Source organism: Homo sapiens, chromosome 2, assembly GCF_000001405.40.
Source record: "Homo sapiens chromosome 2, GRCh38.p14 Primary Assembly".
Classification (NCBI taxonomy): domain Eukaryota; kingdom Metazoa; phylum Chordata; class Mammalia; order Primates; family Hominidae; genus Homo; species Homo sapiens.
In genome coordinates this window covers 122,265,363-122,283,651 of record NC_000002.12, presented here as the reverse complement: position 1 = coordinate 122,283,651, position 18,289 = coordinate 122,265,363, and the positions used below count along the sequence as shown (strand labels likewise).

Below are 18,289 nucleotides of genomic sequence, written 5' to 3'. Positions count from 1 at the left end.
GCTTCAAGCATGTCAAGTAATTTCAGAAAAAGTAGGAACTCAGAAAAAGAGCCACAGAGATTGCTTAGCAAGGTTGTTCACACAAAATAAGGCAGAATGGAGCTCCGATGATTAGAAGATAGAGTGATCATATACAATAACCAAATAGAGAGATGGTTTAGCAGTAGTTTCTAAAATGTTACATCAGTAAATTTTGCTAATTAAGAGAACAAACCAGGCAGACAAAATCCCTCTTCTGCTAGGAGATGAAAATTCTAGCTGGCTCTACCAATTATAACAAAAGAATCCCAGGGGACACACAAGTTTTAACAGTGTTAATAGACCAGGTTAATCCATCATCACGCTAGAATGACAAGTTATATAACAATGGCCAAGTAAGATTTAAAATTACATATCATAAAAAAGAAACATATTGCAGAAAATAAAGGAAAGGAAGAAGAAAAAGGGGGAGGGAAGGAAAGGAGGGAGAGAAGAAACTCAATGTGAAAGGAGTGGATTTAAAACTCGTAGGTGGGAATTGAACAATGAGAACACATGGACACAGGAAGGGGAACATCACACAGCGGAGACTGTTGTGGGGTGGGGGGAGGGGGGAGGGATAGCATTAGGAGATATACCTAATGCTAAATGACGAGTTAATGGTGCAGCACACCAACATGGCACATGTATATATATGTAACAAACCTGCACATTGTGCACATGTACCCTAAAACTTAAAGTACAATAATAATAAAATTTTTAAAAAAATCTTTTTAATGTAAGAAGAAAATGTTATATTTGAGAAGAAAATTGGGGCAGCTGATGAGTAACTCAGAATCTCTGACGGGGAAACAGCAAAGTTTGGTGCTCTACATAAAAATCAGTTTGCTATTTCAGATCCTATAGCTTCAACCAGTTGGTAGTCACTTCTTATTTTCTTTTAGACCTGGAAAGAGTACTCTCACTGTGGGAAGGATTGAATTCTGTCCTAAAGGTTGTTAAGAACTATATTAAATAATAATATAAAAATGAATGTAAACTAAGTAATTTAGCTCTTGGTCAGCAAATCACTTAGAAAATGAGCTTTTAGCAAACTTTCTGTGGCGTGCTAACATATTTTGAGCACACCCAATCACTCTAATACGTCTGGAATAGTGCAGAGTACAAATCCTGTCCCACTGACTGTAGACGTCACAAAACCATTGCCATGGAGAACGCACTTGTTTGGACCCTCTATTCTCCATGAGACAATTTCTGAAAGAGAATGGTAACTGCAATAATTTCAGCTAAGCTGAACATCAAGCTGCCCCCTCTCAGGACTTCCTGGCCAGATACCATGCAGTCACTGGCTTATCCCAGGAGCGACAATTTCAAGGTCTCGTTTGCCCAATTACCTTCTCAAGAAAGGACTAATTAATTATTGTTGTTATCGTTGTTACTATTATTCTTGATTGTTAACACTAGAAACAAGGAACAGATATGAGTAACTGGCAAAAAGAACTGTGTGCACCTGTGCACAAAAAGTGAGGAGGGGCTCCCAAAGACCTCCCCGTACTCCCTTCTCCCCCGCTTAGTATCCAGTGCCTGCAGCTTTACACTTGTTGTTTCATCCTCTTGGGCCAACTTTGCAGATTACAAGATGCTCTCTCTGCCTCAGACCCCACTGCCCTTTTTCGGGTTCTCTCTCATTCTTTACCCAGACTTAGCTGAGGCATGCAACACCTCCTCTGGAAATCTTGGGGCTCCTCAAGTTTCCCAGGACACCTGATACCACTGCAGTCTCACACCCACCACACTGTGCTGGCACTGCCTGTAACTGTGCTGGCACTGCCTCTCACCCACATGAGACCCTAGAAGGCAGAGGCTGGATAGGATCTATCTTTAAGTCACTTCACGCAGTATAATCCTGATTCACAATAAACATTCAGTGATTATTTATTGAGCTGAATTAAGCTGAAAAATGAATGTAAGTCTAAAAAAGAGTAATCAACTCTTCCGTCTGTATTAGCTATCTCCTACTCACTCTAAAGTTCACCAAAACTTAGTTAGCAGCTAGAAGTGCCCCCAACTAATTCAGACATAGATGAACCAAAAAGACTAATAGACTCGAAACACCAACCCCAATACCAGACCCATAGAAGATGCTTGATCATCTTGGTCACTGACATGTCTTTCTGGTCATTTACCCATGAGCCATCCTCCCACCCATCACGGCACCTTCCAGGTTCTTCTTGTGCTCACTCCCTGTTTCTCCGGACCCACAATTCTTCCTTGTCTATCTGAATTCTCTCACTCCAGCCATCACAGATTATCTGCTTCCAAAACCTCATTTCTGACAATGCATTCTGATTTCTCTCTCTTCATTTATTCTCCGTGTTCATCTTCAATTCTTATATCTGTTTCTTTTTTTTTTTTTTTTTTTGAGATAGAGTCTTGCTCTGTCACCAAAGCTGGAGTGCAGTGACATGATCTCGGCTCACTGCAACCTCCACTTCCCGGATTCAAGTGATTCTCCTGCCTCAGCCTCCCAAGTAGCTGGGATTACAAGTGCATGCCACCGTGCCTGGCTAATTTTTGTATTTTTAGTAGAGATGGAGTTTCACCATGTTGGCCAGACTGGTCTCGAACTCCTGACCTTGTGATCTGCCCTCTTCGGCCTCTCAAAGTGCTGGAATTACAGATGTGAGCCACCACGCATGCCTGCTCTTAGCTCTGTTTCATCTCCTGATTTCACCTTTAGGTCCCAACCCTAAAAGGGAGGTTTATCTGCAGAGTGAACCCCCACGTCCTCAAAAAAGGAAATTATACTGCACAATGAGAAGCAGAATGGCAGTGAAGAAGACTCTTAATGCAGCCAGCACCAGTTTCCTCAAAATGAGCAGTTTTAGCAGGTTTGATCGCTGAGGGAAAAGATGGGGCTACACAGGAGACAGAAAGAACAGTTGCCGTAGCAATAAACACCAGACATAGAGGCAACAGCTAATGTTGCGTGTTACTGTGGACCACAGTAAAATCTTTCCAGCTCAAAGTCCAGTACGGTTAGAAATACCAAATTGTGCAGCCCATATAGAATTTGGCAATATTTAACAAATATATACATTCATTGGCCTTAACTCCAACAATCCCACTTAGCCTAAATATACATTTCAAATAATACCAACAACCACGTGCACTTTGTTATTTATTGAAGTATTATTTGACTTTATAAAAGATACCAAAGAGTCATATGGAGACATAGGGTATAACCTGTGTTATATACACATGGTGGAGTACTATGCAACTGTGAAAAAGAACAAGGAAGATTTCTATGAACTGATGTGGAGTGAATTCCGGAAGACATTGTAAAGTTTTTTTAAGGCAATGTGAAAAACAGCATATGTACATGCTGTCTTGCGAAAAGAGAAAAGGAAAAATAAGAAAACATGGCTGTATATTCTCATCGTCACCAACAGGATCACAAGAAGTGCAAACTAGAAAACAATGATGTTAGTTATCTAGAGGAGGTGGGGAGAGATGGGGTAGAAGGGGTGTGAGAGGAAGTACACCATTTATAAAATGCTTGACTTTTAGAATTGGTATTCTTCAGAAATGTCTATGTCATAAGATACAAAAAGCCTATGGAAATATGCTAGACATACAACTAAATACAGTAATTTATCGGTGAAAAATACCGTAAAAATTAGCGAATCAACTGATAAAATCAGAACGTGGAGGGTAGATAAAGCATCACAATTATGTTAAATTTACTGGAGTTGAGAACTGCATTGTGTTTATGTGCAGGAATGCCCATATTCTTAGGAGATACTTAATACGTTGTTTAGAGTTAAAGGGCCATAGTGTATGGAACGTATTATGTATTGGTTGAGGAAGAAAGAGAGAGAGAAAGCAAATACAATAGGTGAGTCCAGGCAAAGAGTGTATGGGCATTCTTTGTAATACTTTTTTTGTTGCCACTTTTCTAAAGTTTAACCCATAAAATTAAAAGAAAAATGAACGGAGAAGAGGGAATCTGTAAGAAGATTTTCTTTCTTTTTTTGGGGGGGTGGTCACAGACCCTACTCTCTAATAAATACTCTTAGAATAATAATAATGTGTAACTACCATTTATTATGTACCTGCTATGTGCCAGATACTGGACTAGTGATTTTACACATATTTTCATTTATATTCATAACAACCATACAATGCAGGCTTCCTATTTTCTGCACTATTTTGTATTACTTTTATATCATCTTCCAATGTCTGGAACAACTACAGTTATTTGTAGCTTTATATTAAAAACTTGATTCTAATCACAGATATGTAGATGTGCCCTAACCTATTAAAATAAAGAAGTATTGCAACCCATTAGTTGATTCTCAATGATAAGCAGCAATAGATAACTGTGTAGCTAAAGCTATTATTTTTCCCTTCTGCCGTCCCCAACTTCTAAGCCCATATCAAGCCCTATTTTTTGTTAAAACCTTTTATTTTAACCGTACACATTAAAAACTCAGAGATAACCATGTTTTCTATTCATGGATTTCTCTCTCTAATCTCCAGGAAGTTATTAGAAACTATATCAGTAGTACTTGCATTCGATTATTCTATTATACTAAAATATTTCCTTTCAAAAATCAGAAGTTGCATTCTACCTCCTTCTAGCAAATTGCAAATGAAGCCGGTCATATGAAAAGCTTAACATGAAAGACATTGGGATAAATGTGCTGTCAGGAAAAAAGAGAAAGATGGGTCTAGGAGAAGCCAAATATATTCTAATATCTAGTTTCCTGCTTCTATACAGGACTGCAACTTAACACAAATCTTTAAAATCCTCCAAGACACGGCCGGGCGCGGTGGCTCACGCCTGTAATCCCAGCACTTTGGGAGGCTGAGGCGGGCGGATCACGAGGTCTGAAGATCGAGACCATCCTGGCTAACACGCTGAAACCCCGTCTCTACTAAAAATACAAAACATTAGCCGGGCGTGGTGGCGGGCACCTGTAGTCCCAGCTACTCTGGAGGCTGAGGCAGGAGAATGGCATGAACCCGGGAGGCGGAGCTTGTAGTGAGTGGAGATCACGCTACTCCACTCCAGCCTGGGCGACGGAGTGAGACTCCGTCTCAAAAACAAAAACAAACAAACAAAAAATCCTCCAAGACACATCATTTTCTACTTCCATAGTTATCTTTTAGCCAGGTTTAAGCCTATCAGGGAAAAAAAAATAACTTAGTTCCAAGGAATATCTCCACTTCCTTAGTTGAGGAGATTAAGTCAGTTTCCTCTACTTTAGTATAGTTTTCAGATAACTGATTATGTGATTCATTATTTATGTAGCTGATAATATAATTTATTATTTGGCCACATAATTATCACTCAATGATCAGCAATGAATAGAGAAATGAAATCTCTGGTTTCAAAGATTTTGTTATATTAGCAATAAGGATAATCAGTTTAACTCTCTGACCCCAGGAGACAGAAGACTTCAGATAAAATATATTGTGAAATAATAAACATTCGCATTTTTGTCTACCATTAAGCTTTGCAGTCATCTTGCTAGATGAGAACCCCTCTGCTTTACAGATGAAAGTGCTGAGGCACAGAGAGAAACTATGACACCCTAAGTGCCTAAAGGGTTTGGCATTGGAGTTTCCCCTCCACGGGGCTGTAGCTGACCACCCCTGCCTCTGCTTCTGACACCTAGAGTCATTATGTTCCATGGAGAACATGTAAACGAGCTGTTCATCTTGCAAAATCTTTAGGAAGTGACATTTTCTCTTTCTGCATTACACTTCCTATTCTAGTATACTTTATACTTTAAAAAAACATACTGGAATAGAACCACTACTTTTTTTTTTTTTTTTTTTTTTTGAGACGGAGTCTCGCTCTATCGCCCAGGCTGGCGCGATTTCGCCTCACTGCAAACGCCGCCTCCCGGGTTCACGCCATTCTCCTGCCTCAGCCTCCTGAGTAGCTGGGACTACAGGCGCCCGCCACCGCACCCGGCTAATTTTTTGTATCTTTAGTAGAGACAGGGTTTCACCGTGTTAGCCAGGATGGTCTCGATCTCCTGACCTCGTGATCCACCCGCCTCAGCACTTTGTAATCCCAAAGTGCTGGGATTACAGGCGTGAGCCACGGCGCCCTGCCAGAACCACTACTTTAGTTTTAAATTAGATGCACTAATGAATTGCAACCCTCAGGTCAGGTCTTACTTCCTCCAAGGGGACTTTCTAACCACATGCTTTTCCTCCTTGCTCATTAGTACTCAATGTGTGCTTGGTGAAAGACTGAATGACAAATGAGTGAAAGGCCCAGAGAAAACTCCCAAAGACAGTGCAATCACCGTGGATAATCCTCTTCCGAATCCAGGAATTCAGACTTATGGCTTGCCTTCTCTGAGCCTGTCACTCTGCAGAGACCCTTGTTAGAGAAATGGCTGTGGACAAGTAGCTATGGCTCCCTCCACAGAAAGCTAAAGACCCTTCCCAGTGAAGCCAACTACCATAAGCCATATCTGTCCACCTGAGCAAGTGACCAGCAGGTCGATAGATCATTGGACCATCTCCAGAAGAAAGGAAACAATGACTTTTGAAGGGCATGCTAGTCAAAACCATGCCTCCTTACAGCCATGGAGGTCCCTCACCCTCTCCACTTGCTGATCTAGTCTATGTCTCTGTTCTTTCTGACAGGCCTTCTCACTCTCTGGACTGTTTTCTCTCCATGTACAACCAAGCAAAGACTTCATTTTTTGAGACTCAATAGAGTTGACTGTCTCTGTGAGCTTTCCCCAATTCCTCTGAGAATTTAGAAATAGAAGATTTTTCCCTTTTCTCCCATATTTATTGGTACCTACACATTGCAGTATGGCTTTGTGGTCTATTATTTTACCAAATTTCCAAGTCTTTTTGTAGAAGATAGAAATGGTACCTTGTCCCCTGCCTCCACTTGCTGAAAACATCAGATATGCACCCCCCTACACCCAAAGCACTCCCTGACTCAATACTACACACTCTTCAAGAGGCTTATCTCAGAAACAATGACCAATCTTCTCCCCAGAGAGCACCATGTCAAAGCCCACGAAGCATTGCTCTTCTCTTACCTCAGTCACCATAAGGAGCCTAAGATGCATCCAAGGACTCATGACCTCAATGCTTGACGAGTCCCCCAAGCTGACCCAAACTCCCACCATTCCCTAATCCCCCAAACTTGATGACAGACCATGAGTTCTGGAGGGCAAAGCCTTCCCTATCTTCTTACTCTCACTGACCATTCCCTCCACCTTATCCTAAATGGAAGCTCTGTCTCCCTGATGACCCTATATCCCTGTAACCCTCTCTCAAGTGGGAGTTGTGTTTCTTTCACAGCCATGTCCCATGGAACAGGTTTTCTCTTACACTTCACAGTTGCTTCCACACCGTGTTCTTCCCTTCTCTCTATGACCCCCAGCCCCTCTAAGGCATGTTCTATCAGATGGTAGCCCATCCCCTGTCCTTGCACCAAGCACCTGCCCCCCTCCTGGTCACTTCTCCTCATTCAATGTGGATTCTATTCCCTGGACTGCTGTTTTTCTCTTCACTATCACTCCTATCACGATTCTTGGTGGTTACAAAACCTTTGATACATCTATCCAATATCTGGCCTCTCATTATCTTTATCTTTTCACTGGCAGTGAGTTTGTTTTCTACCCCACGTCAGCCCTTCATCCCCAGTGATTTTTAAGCCAGAATAGTAATTGATTATTGGGTTATGAAATCTAGTTTTGTATTACATTAAATGAAATAAAATATAAGAGGAAATATCAGGGTACATTGCCTGTAATAACCATAGGAATTATTTCACGAAACTTTGCCTCAATTTTATATATATAGGTGTATATATAGGTATGTATATATAGGTGTATATATAGGTATGTATGTATATATAGGTGTATATATAGGTATATATGTATATATAGGTATATATAGGTGTATGTACAGATATATATAGGTGTATATATAGGTATATATGGGTGTATGTATAGATATATATAGATGTATATATAGGTGTATATATAGGTATATATAGGTGTGTATATAGTCGTATATATAGCTGTATATATAGCTGTACATATATAGGTGTATATATAGGTGTACATATATAGGTGTACATATAGGTGTATATATAGGTGTATATCTATAGGTATATATAGGTGTACATATATAGGTGTATATATAGGTGTACATATATAGGTGTATATAGGTATATATAGATATATAGGCATATATAGGTGTATATATAGGTATGTATAGGTGTATATAGGTATAGATATATAGGTATATGTAGGTGTATAGATATACAGGTATATGTATATAGTTATATATAGGTGTATATATAGGTGTGTATATAGGTGTGTATATAGGTGTGCATATAGGTATATATATAAGTGTGTATATAGGTATATATAGGTGTGTATATAGGTATATATAGGTGTGTATATAGGTATATATAGGTGTATATAGACAGGTGTGTATATATAGGTGTATATATAGGTATATATGTGTATATTTACAGAGGTATATATAGGTGTATATATACAGGTGTGCATATATAGGTGTATATATACAGGTGTGTATATATAGGTGTATATAGGTATACTAGGTATATATAGGTATATGTGTATATATGTATATATGTGTATATAGGTGTATATATAGGTGTATATAGGTATATATAGGTATATATGTGTGTATAGGTATATATGTGTGTATATATAGGTATATGTGTGTATATATAGGTGTATATATGTGTGTATAGGTATATGTGTGTGTATATATAGGTATATATGTGTATATATAGGTGTGTATATGTGTGTATCTATGTAGGTGCATATATGCATATATATAGGTGTATATATGTGTGTATCTATGTAGGTGTATATATGCGTGTATATATGTAGGTGTATATATGTGTGTATATATAGGTGTATATATATAGGTATAGGTGTATACATATGTGTGTATATAGGTATATATAGATATATATAGGTGTATATATAGGTATATATAGGTGCGTATATATAGGTATGTATAGGTGTATAGGTATATGTGGGTGTATATATAGGTATATATGTGTGTATATATAGGTGTATATATGTGTATGTATAGGTGTATATATGTCTATATATAGGTGTTTATATGTGTATATATAGGTGTATATATGTATAGATAGGTGTATATATATGGGTGTATATATGTATATATAGGAGTATATAGGTATATATAGGTATATATATGTATATATGTATATATAGGTGTGTATATATGTGTATATAGGTGCATATATGTGTGTATATATAGGTGTGTATATATGTGTATATATAGGTGCGTATATGTGTGTATATATAGGTGTATATATGTGTATATATAGGTGTATATATACGTATATATGTGTATACATACACCTATATATGTATGTGTGTATATATACGTGTATATACGTATATACGTACACCTATATGTATATACATATACATGTATATGCACATATATGTATATACGTATACATGTGTATGCACATATATGTAGATGTGTACACACGTGTATGCACATATGTGTATATGTATACACACGTGTATGCACATATGTATACACACGTGTATGCACACGTGTATACACATATGTATATCTGTGTATAGACGTGTATACACATCTGTGTATAGACGTGTATACACATCTGTGTATAGACGTGTATACACATATATGTATATGTACTCAGTCATGATATAAAATGTATCTCTCTTGTGTTGAGTCATGATCAAAACAGTTCTGAAACCACTGCTGTAAACATACTCATTACCAATAACTGCACCTCATTCAATGTTCCCATGGCAAGCATCTCCCCCTGTAGCCACCACCTTCTCTCTCTTTCTCACTGTCTCTAGCATCCTAGCTCCAGAAATTCTTCAGTCACACCAAAGCTTTCAACCCATTAGCCCCGGCCTTTTCTGTATCCTTTGTTCATCTCAGGTACTCACTTTCCCTCATTGCCTGGCAGCAGTGGCTGACCACTACATGCTGAGATCTTCAAGGACAAAAAACACGTCCCAGTTAACTTTTTATCCCTGACATTAACACTGTGCCTGGCACAAAATAGGTGTTCAGAACATCTTTGTTAAATTAACAAGGCTGTTAAATTTACAAGACTGAGTCCTACTGAACAGGTTGATAAAAGCCTCTATGATTTGTGTTTGATTTTGTTTATCATTGGACGCATATACCAGTTAATCTCCTCTATCAGTACTTCTCTAATTTCTGCTTTGCAAGGTTTTATTCCCACAGTTTTCATTCAGTAAAGTCAGGACCACAGAGATCCTCAATATTCCACTACACCATGAGGGAAATTGCAGTGAGTGAGCAATTTCAGCCATAACTCTCTGGTCATACACCTAGACTGAGAGAAAGAAAACCCTCAACATCTGTCAAAAGATTAATAATTTTTATGTACAGTTCAAAGCTGTCAGGTATAGTTCATTAGAATAATAAATCTATTAAATATTGGAAGGATTAACATCTCATTATCTCACCCTTGTTATAAGAATGAAGGTTTTATTATCCTGATGACTTTAAATAACCCTTCCCACATAGTGCATTCTCCTCACCTCCTCCCCCACCCCTCACAGTTAGGCTTTGACATAATTTTTTTAAATTGGGCATTATCATTTTAAGAGAGCATCAGAATGTCAATCCTGGCTATGGGAGGCTGATGGAAGACTTCGTTTTAAACAATTCTTCACACGTGATTCTTTCGTGCTTATACACTTTCTTTCCTTAATACCTTTACTATCACATTTGGCATTTAATCATTTAAAACTCAAACCAAGATGCAGAACGTGGCAATGAAAAAGAGCACTGGATTAGGATTCCAGAAGCCCCTCCCTGGGGAGGTGGGTGTCTCCATTACAGACTCACTGGGGGAGCCTTGTCAGTTCCCTGCTTGGAATATTCTTTTGCCTCATTCAAAGCTGAGCACCAGCAACTCCCCTATGCAGCCTTTGTGGATCCCTCCAGGATAGCAGACTCTTTTATATGCCCTCACTCAATCTTAAAATCTTAAAACATCAAAAATAAGTAAAATACCTGTAACTATATTTATCACATTTTCCTGCAGTCTTTTTTTTTTCACTCAGTTTAGTGCCTGGCACATAGTAGGTTCACAACATATTTACCGAAGGAATAACAAAAAGTGTCTCTCCTAATTGACTCTAGTACATAGTAGGTACTCAATACTGGTATTGATTTAATTGAATAATTTGGGATAGAATTTTTCTTTCTATTCTGTGGAGAAATCTAGAAATCAGGGTGATTTAATAACTCATTCCAGGCCTTAGAGGCAATAAGTGCTGGGGCTGGGATTTGAACACAGGCCTGCCTAGCTTCAAGCACTCACCCATTCCACTGCATCAGTCTTCCTCCATGTGAGCCTCTGGTGTCTTTCTGTGTCATCAGAGGCTGCATAAACGTTATTGACTGGCCGTTTGACTTGGACCCATTGGAATATCATCAGGGCACCAATTGTGCACATCAGATGAGGCAAAATATCACTGAACTTACTGCTGCTCCTCTTTGGTGGGACAGCTGACTACTAAGTGCAAACCCTTCCCTAGCACATCTCTGAATGTACTTTAAAAAAGGTAGAGGACACTCTCTTCCCTCAGGAAATGTGTAGATTAAAAGCCGTTGAAAGAAAGAAGACACACACTCTGCTCACAGTGACATCATCTCACCACAATCTCCACCCAGAGGCATCAAGAAAAGAAGTATCAATGGTACTTCTAATGACTTCTCTGGATCCCAGAGATGGGCTGCTCAATCAATGTTGCTGAAACTAGCATGGCCATTACATGTTTATTAGGAAGATAACATCATTTCATTTTACCTTGTCAGGTAATTTTATATCTAACACAAACACGGGGTATAAACAGTAACAAACAGCTGGAGAGGAGAAAAATGGTTATGTCACCCCATTGTGTAACATCCTAACGACAAAGCCAATCTCCAAAACAGATTGCAGACTCCACTTGAAAAGCTGCTGGTTTGCCCCAATTGACTGATTTTCTTTGTTTGTTTCATTTTGTTCAGACTTGATAAAGGCGTCATCAATTAACACTCCACCCCCCACTCAAATTCTGTCCTTCGAAATCACACAGGCTTGCCCAGCACAGGCCATGGATGGGCACCATGTTCTCAGAAATCACATAGCTCTTTTTGAGTTGGCTTCTTTGAAGCCAAAGTATTCATTCTCCTTGAGGCTGATTGAATCATCTCTTCCAATTCCTCCATGTCTGTCCTCTGAGTTTGTCTGTTGAGTTTTAATTAAGACACTTTGGAAAGTTTTATACTCCTCTTTCAAATAGCAGCTTAGCCTGATAAAATCTCCCAACCATGGCCACCCTGGCCAACTAGACTTAGGATAGTGAAATAGGACATCTTTCTAGGTGTCAGCTTCATTCTTTTCCACTTGCAAATGATACATGATGAGCCTTGGTCTATGGAACTAATTGTTTCTTCCCAAATAAATTCTCCTACTGTCAAAGTTTAGAAAATCAAATAAGACCCTTTAGACAACCCCAGAACTTGACCTTAGCAATATTACCTTTTCTTTATTCTTACCAAAAACCTTTGATATCTATGTTTTATTTTTAATCTGATGTATTTAAAATAGTTAATGTGGAGCTTCCAGTTAAAGATGGTGGAATAAAGCTTGTCTATTCCAATTTCCTCTTTGAAAGCAAGAGAAAATAACAATAAGAATAAAAATAAAAATTGAAAAAAGAACTCTCTTCCTCTTGGCATATGTAGAAAGAGTCTAAAGATGCAAACCCAGCTGCTAAAAGAAATTATTCTCCTTGTTTTTCTCTGATAGGTAAGGCCCCACTCAACAAAGTGGTGAAAAATTAGTCTATACAGATGGCAAGTAAGCATATGGAAAGATGCTTCACATCATATGTCATCTTAGAAATGCAAATTAAAACAGCAATGAGATACCAATACATACTTATTAGAATGGCTAAAATCTAGAATACTGAGAGCACCAAGTCCTTGCTGGAATGTGGAAAAACAGGAACGCTCATTCATTGCTCTCATTGCTGGTGGGAATGCAAAATAGTACAACCACTTTGTGAAACACTTTGGCAGTTTCTTACAAAGTTAAACATACTTTTATAGGATCCAGCCATTGTGCTCCTTGGAATTTACCCAGAAGAGTTGAAAACATGTCTACACAAAAACTTGCATGCAGATGTTTATAACAGCTTTATTAATAATTGCCAAAACTGAGAAGCAAACAAGACATCCCTCAGTAGGTGAATAAACTGTGGTATATGCAGACAGTGGAATATTATACAGTGCTAAAAAGAGTGATCTATCAATCCATGAAAAGACATGAAAGAAATTAAAGTGTATATTACTAAGTGAAAGAAGCCAGTCTGAAAATGCTACATACTGCATAATTCCAACTGTATGACACTCTGCAAAAGGCAAAACTAAGGAGACAGTGAAAAGAGCAGTGGTTTCCAGGGGATGGATGGAGGGAGGGATGAACCAGTGGAGGGCTGAGGATTTTTAGGGCAGTGAAAACACCCTGTATGACTATAATGGTGGATCCATGTCATTACACATTTGCTTAAACCCACACAATGTATAGCACCAAGAGTGACCCCTAATATAAACTATGGACTTTTTGATGACAATGATGTGTCAATGTAGGTTCAGCAATTTCTTTTCTTTTTTGTTTTGTTTTTTAAATTAATTTTTAATTAATAAATAATACCTTTACAAATTCTTGTGGTAAATGGATATGTGATGTTTCAGTACATACATGTTCTGGTTGGGGAGGTCAGTGTGTGGGAAGCGGCCCAGAATGTGTGGGGGGAGGGTTATGTGAAAAATCTCTGAAGCTTCTGCTGCATTTTGCTGTGAACCTAAAACTGCTCTTCAAAAATAAATCTTTTAAACAAATTATCATTAAATATGAATATGCCACATTTTGTCCATTTATCAGTGGATGGATAATAGATACTTTTTAAAATTATCATTGTCTTTACGTTTCTCTAGCAATTAAAACCCCAGGCAGTGAAGTGGTGGGAAACTCAACCTCAGTTGACTGGTTTCTCTCAGAGGTTTCCCTTCATGTCCAAGTTCCAAGGTTTGTGTAGTACCCAGGATGTGAGTGTTTGTATTGTCTTGTGTATAAGAGATGGGAAAGCATAGGGGGAAACCTAGAATTGAATTCATCTGTCCATAGAGGAAATGATTACTCCCATGTCTCAAAGATTCACAGTCATTGATACACACAGGATGCTGCTGCTAGGGGACCCTCTGCCCATTCGTGCATTTTCATCTGGCCCTTCTGATGCTCGCCTGTGACTCCTAAGCGCATGGTCAGCATGTTGAGGTCAGGTTGGCCATTGCTGAGCGGCACCAGGCAGCACACCCTAGCGGAGGTGGGTCACTTTCCTCTGCTCTGTGTGGGAAAGAGGCACACATTTTCCCTGCTCTTGAGTCCTCCATTGCTCCCAGAGTCTTGCTCTCCGCTCAAGAGTCTGGTGAGGAGGTGGAGCACAGAACCCCTTTCTCCAGAATGCATAAACTCTTCTCTCTCAGCCTCATCAATTCCCAACTCCTGAGAAAATGGTTTCTAGTCTGGAGAGAGGGTGGAAGGTTGTAGAGCCCATTATTCCCCTTCCTTAATCTTTTCCTCTAATATTTTAGGCTTCTGGAACACAAAAGCCAAAGTCTTCCAGATAGAGATAAAAAAATTCTATTAATATGCAAGTCATTTCTAATAACACAGCAAGAAATATATGGTGTTTTTTAAGATTCATCCAAGTTGTAACATGCATCTATACTTTATTTCATTTTATGGTGAAATGACATTTCATTGTATGGATATGCCACATTTTTGTTTGTCGATTTATCAGCTGATGGAAATTTGGGTTATTTTCACTTTTTGGCTATTGAGTCTGCTATAAACACTTGTGCACAAGTTTTGTTTGAAAATCTGTTTTCAATTTTTTTGTATATATGCCTAGGAGTGGAACTGCTGAGTCATGTACTAAGTAAAAAAGGCAGACACCAAAGGCTATGTATTGTATAATTCTATTTCTTTCTTTCTTTCTTTGAGACAGAGTTTCGCTCTTGTTGCCCAGGCTGGAGTGCAATGGCACCATCTTGGCTCACTGCAACCTCCACCTCCTGGGTTCAAGCGATTCTCCTGCCTCAGCCTCCCGAGTAGCTGGGATTACAGGCACATGCCATGAAGCCTGGCTAATGTTATACTTTTAGTAGAGACCAGGGTTCTCCACGTTGGTCAGGCTAGTCTTGAACTCCCGACCTCAGGTGATCTACCCGCCTGTATAATTCTATTTAAATGGAATGTCCAGTATTGGCAAATTGAGAGAGACAGAAAGCAGATAAATGGTTGTCAGGGCCTGGGAGGAGGGGGAAATGGGGAGCGGCTGCTTTCAAAGGGATGAAATGTTGTAAAGTTAGATAGTGGTAAGCGTTGCACAATACTGTGAATGTCCAAAATGCCATGAAATTGTATACTTTAAAATGGTAAATTTTAAAGAATCAAAAAACATAAAGAGATAATGTCTTATATAATATATACTTGTACGTGATATAAAATATATTGTATATACTATAAAATGTGCACTCTACTTATATAACATAAAATTATGTAAAGTTTTATACTTACATAAATGTATAATTTTTATATGGATATAATACATAAATATAATGTATATACATACAAAAATAGCTCCCCAAATAGCTATAACCCTAACCCACAGTCGATGAAAACTAGGCATAAAAATTTGTTAATTGTGGATAAAATTAGGAGAACACCAATTCAACTTTTGGAAAAAAGCGGACAGGTAAGTTATTGATTAGCTCATTTCTCATACCAAGAACCTAATGATTACTGCTTAATACTGAAAACCAAGAAATAGAAATTTGAGTATATGATTTAAAGTATAAAAATAATCATGTAGGGACTTAAGGAGAGGTCACGGTACTTGGAAAGAGGCAGAAGTTAGAAAATGAAAGGGGTGGTCTGTAGAAAAGAAGCAGGTCAAAAGTCAAAGGTCAAAAAAAGCAAATGGCAGTAAAAGGAAATACATATGCACTAATTATTTCGACTTTCATAGTGGGACAGCAAAAGATACTGCCACAGATACTTTCATAGCTGAAGAATATAGAGTTAAATGTATTATTATCATTTAATAAGTTTCATTCGTTCCTTCAGTTTCATAGCTGAAGGAATATAGGGTTAAATGTATATGAAAAAACAATAACAACAACAAAATCGAAACAAGCAGTAACAATATTAATAACAAAAGTGAAAACAGAACATAAACTTTCCAGGCTCTCAGAAAGAATACACCCACATGCGCAAAGCAAAGAAAACACAAAGATGTGCCACAATGCAGAAAACACTAAAAGCAGAGGTTGAAAGAACATACCAAATATAACTGTCATATCAATAAATGTTAATAAGATGAACTCATTTTTAAAAGAAAATATTTCTCAGATTTCATAAAACATGAAATCCATCCACATGCTGTACACAGGAGACACAAATAAAAGACTCAGGAATTTTGAAAGAAAAGTGATAAATAGTAACAGATTATACAAGCAAATGGAAACAAAACGAAATCAGGAGTCAACTATTAATATTAGTCCCAGCTGCATGCAAAGCATAAGGTAATAAGTGAAATGAAGTGTACTTAATAATGATGGAAGGTGCAATCCACAGTGAAGATCTGTCATAAATCTTCACACAAGAAAACATAAACATTTATGAAGCAAGAACAATGAGAGACAGATGGAAATACAGAACCAGTTAAGATGTTTTTCTCACTGGCCTCTGGCCATCAAAAATAAAGTAGAACAAAATAAAATATGAGAGCTTCAAACTACTTACTTAATATGTTAGATGTAATAGACATATCAAGCTGTATATTGTGAAACTAGAGCATATAATCTTCTTTTCAGATGCCTGAGGAATGTTATTTTTAACTGGTCATATATTTTGCCACAAGAAAGCTTCAACATACACCCCAAATTAGCCTCCCATATTCTCTGATCTTTCAGATAACATTTTAAAAATTTAGAAGATAATAATACAAATAGACAAGAAAAATATCAAACCACTGATATTTCTGAAAACTTTTTAAAAATAATCTTTGGCTGAAAAGGAAAATCAAAAGTCAAATTACACAATATCTAGGAAATATGAAAATTGGTTGCACTAAGTATCAGAATTTTAGTGCTGCAGCCAGCTAACAGCATTGTAGGAAAATTCATAGCTTTAAATATTAAATTTCTAAATAGAAAATAATTTAAATAATTGAGTTAATCATTAAAATTAAAAAGATGAAGAGGTAAACAGTAAAATAATCCAAAGAAAGCAGAGTGTAGAAAGTAATTTGGAAAAATTAAAACAACAAATTAGTAGAACAAAAGAAAACCATTAAATAAATAAATGGATCCAAGAGCTTTTCTTCTTGAGAAAAGAAATGTATATAAAGAAACAAAACTAATTAAACTAAAGAGCTTCTGCACAGCAAAAGAAACTACCATCAGAGTGAACAGGCAACCTACAAAATGGGAGAAAATTTTCACAACCTACTCATCTGACAAAGGGCTAATATCCAGAATCTACAATGAACTCAAACAAATTTACAAGAAAAAAACAAACAACCCCATCAAAAAGTGGGCGAAGGACATGAACAGACACTTCTCAAAAGAAGACATTTATGCAGCCAAAAAACACATGAAAAAATGCTCATCATCACTGGCCATCAGAGAAATGCAAATCAAAACCACAATGAGATACCATCTCACACCAGTTAGAATGGTGATCATTAAAAAGTCAGGAAACAACAGGTGCTGGAGAGGATGTGGAGAAATAGGAACACTTTTACACTGTTGGTGGGACTGTAAACTAGTTCAACCATTGTGGAAGTCAGTGTGGCGATTCCTCAGGGATCTAGAACTGGAAATACCATTTGACCCAGCCATCCCATTACTGGGTATATACCCAAAGGACTATAAATCGTGCTGCTATAAAGACACATGCACACGTATGTTTATTGCGGCATTATTCACAATAGCAAAGACTTGGAACCAACCCAAATGTCCAACAATGATAGACTGGATTAAGAAAATGTGGCACATATACACCATGGAATACTATGCAGCCATAAAAAATGATGAGTTCATGTCCTTTGTAGGGACATGGATGAAATTGGAAATCATCATTCTCAGTAAACTATCGCAAGAACAA

General features: G+C 37.8%; 1 long non-coding RNA gene across 2 annotated transcripts in view, besides 1 other annotated feature; it reads right to left on the bottom strand.

Annotated features, from left to right (window-relative positions):
* Nucleotides 1–18,289, bottom strand: part of LOC105373592 (uncharacterized) — a 530,486-nt gene that overhangs the window by 149,287 nt on the left and 362,910 nt on the right. The gene's annotated exons all lie outside the window — the stretch shown is intronic.
* Nucleotides 9,493–9,693: a silencer, noted in NCBI's record as "peak3844 fragment used in MPRA reporter construct". NCBI's record gives its function as "represses an SCP1 promoter by STARR-seq MPRAs in K562 erythroleukemia cells {active_cell/tissue: K562}" and the evidence as "EXISTENCE:reporter gene assay evidence [ECO:0000049][PMID:32103011]".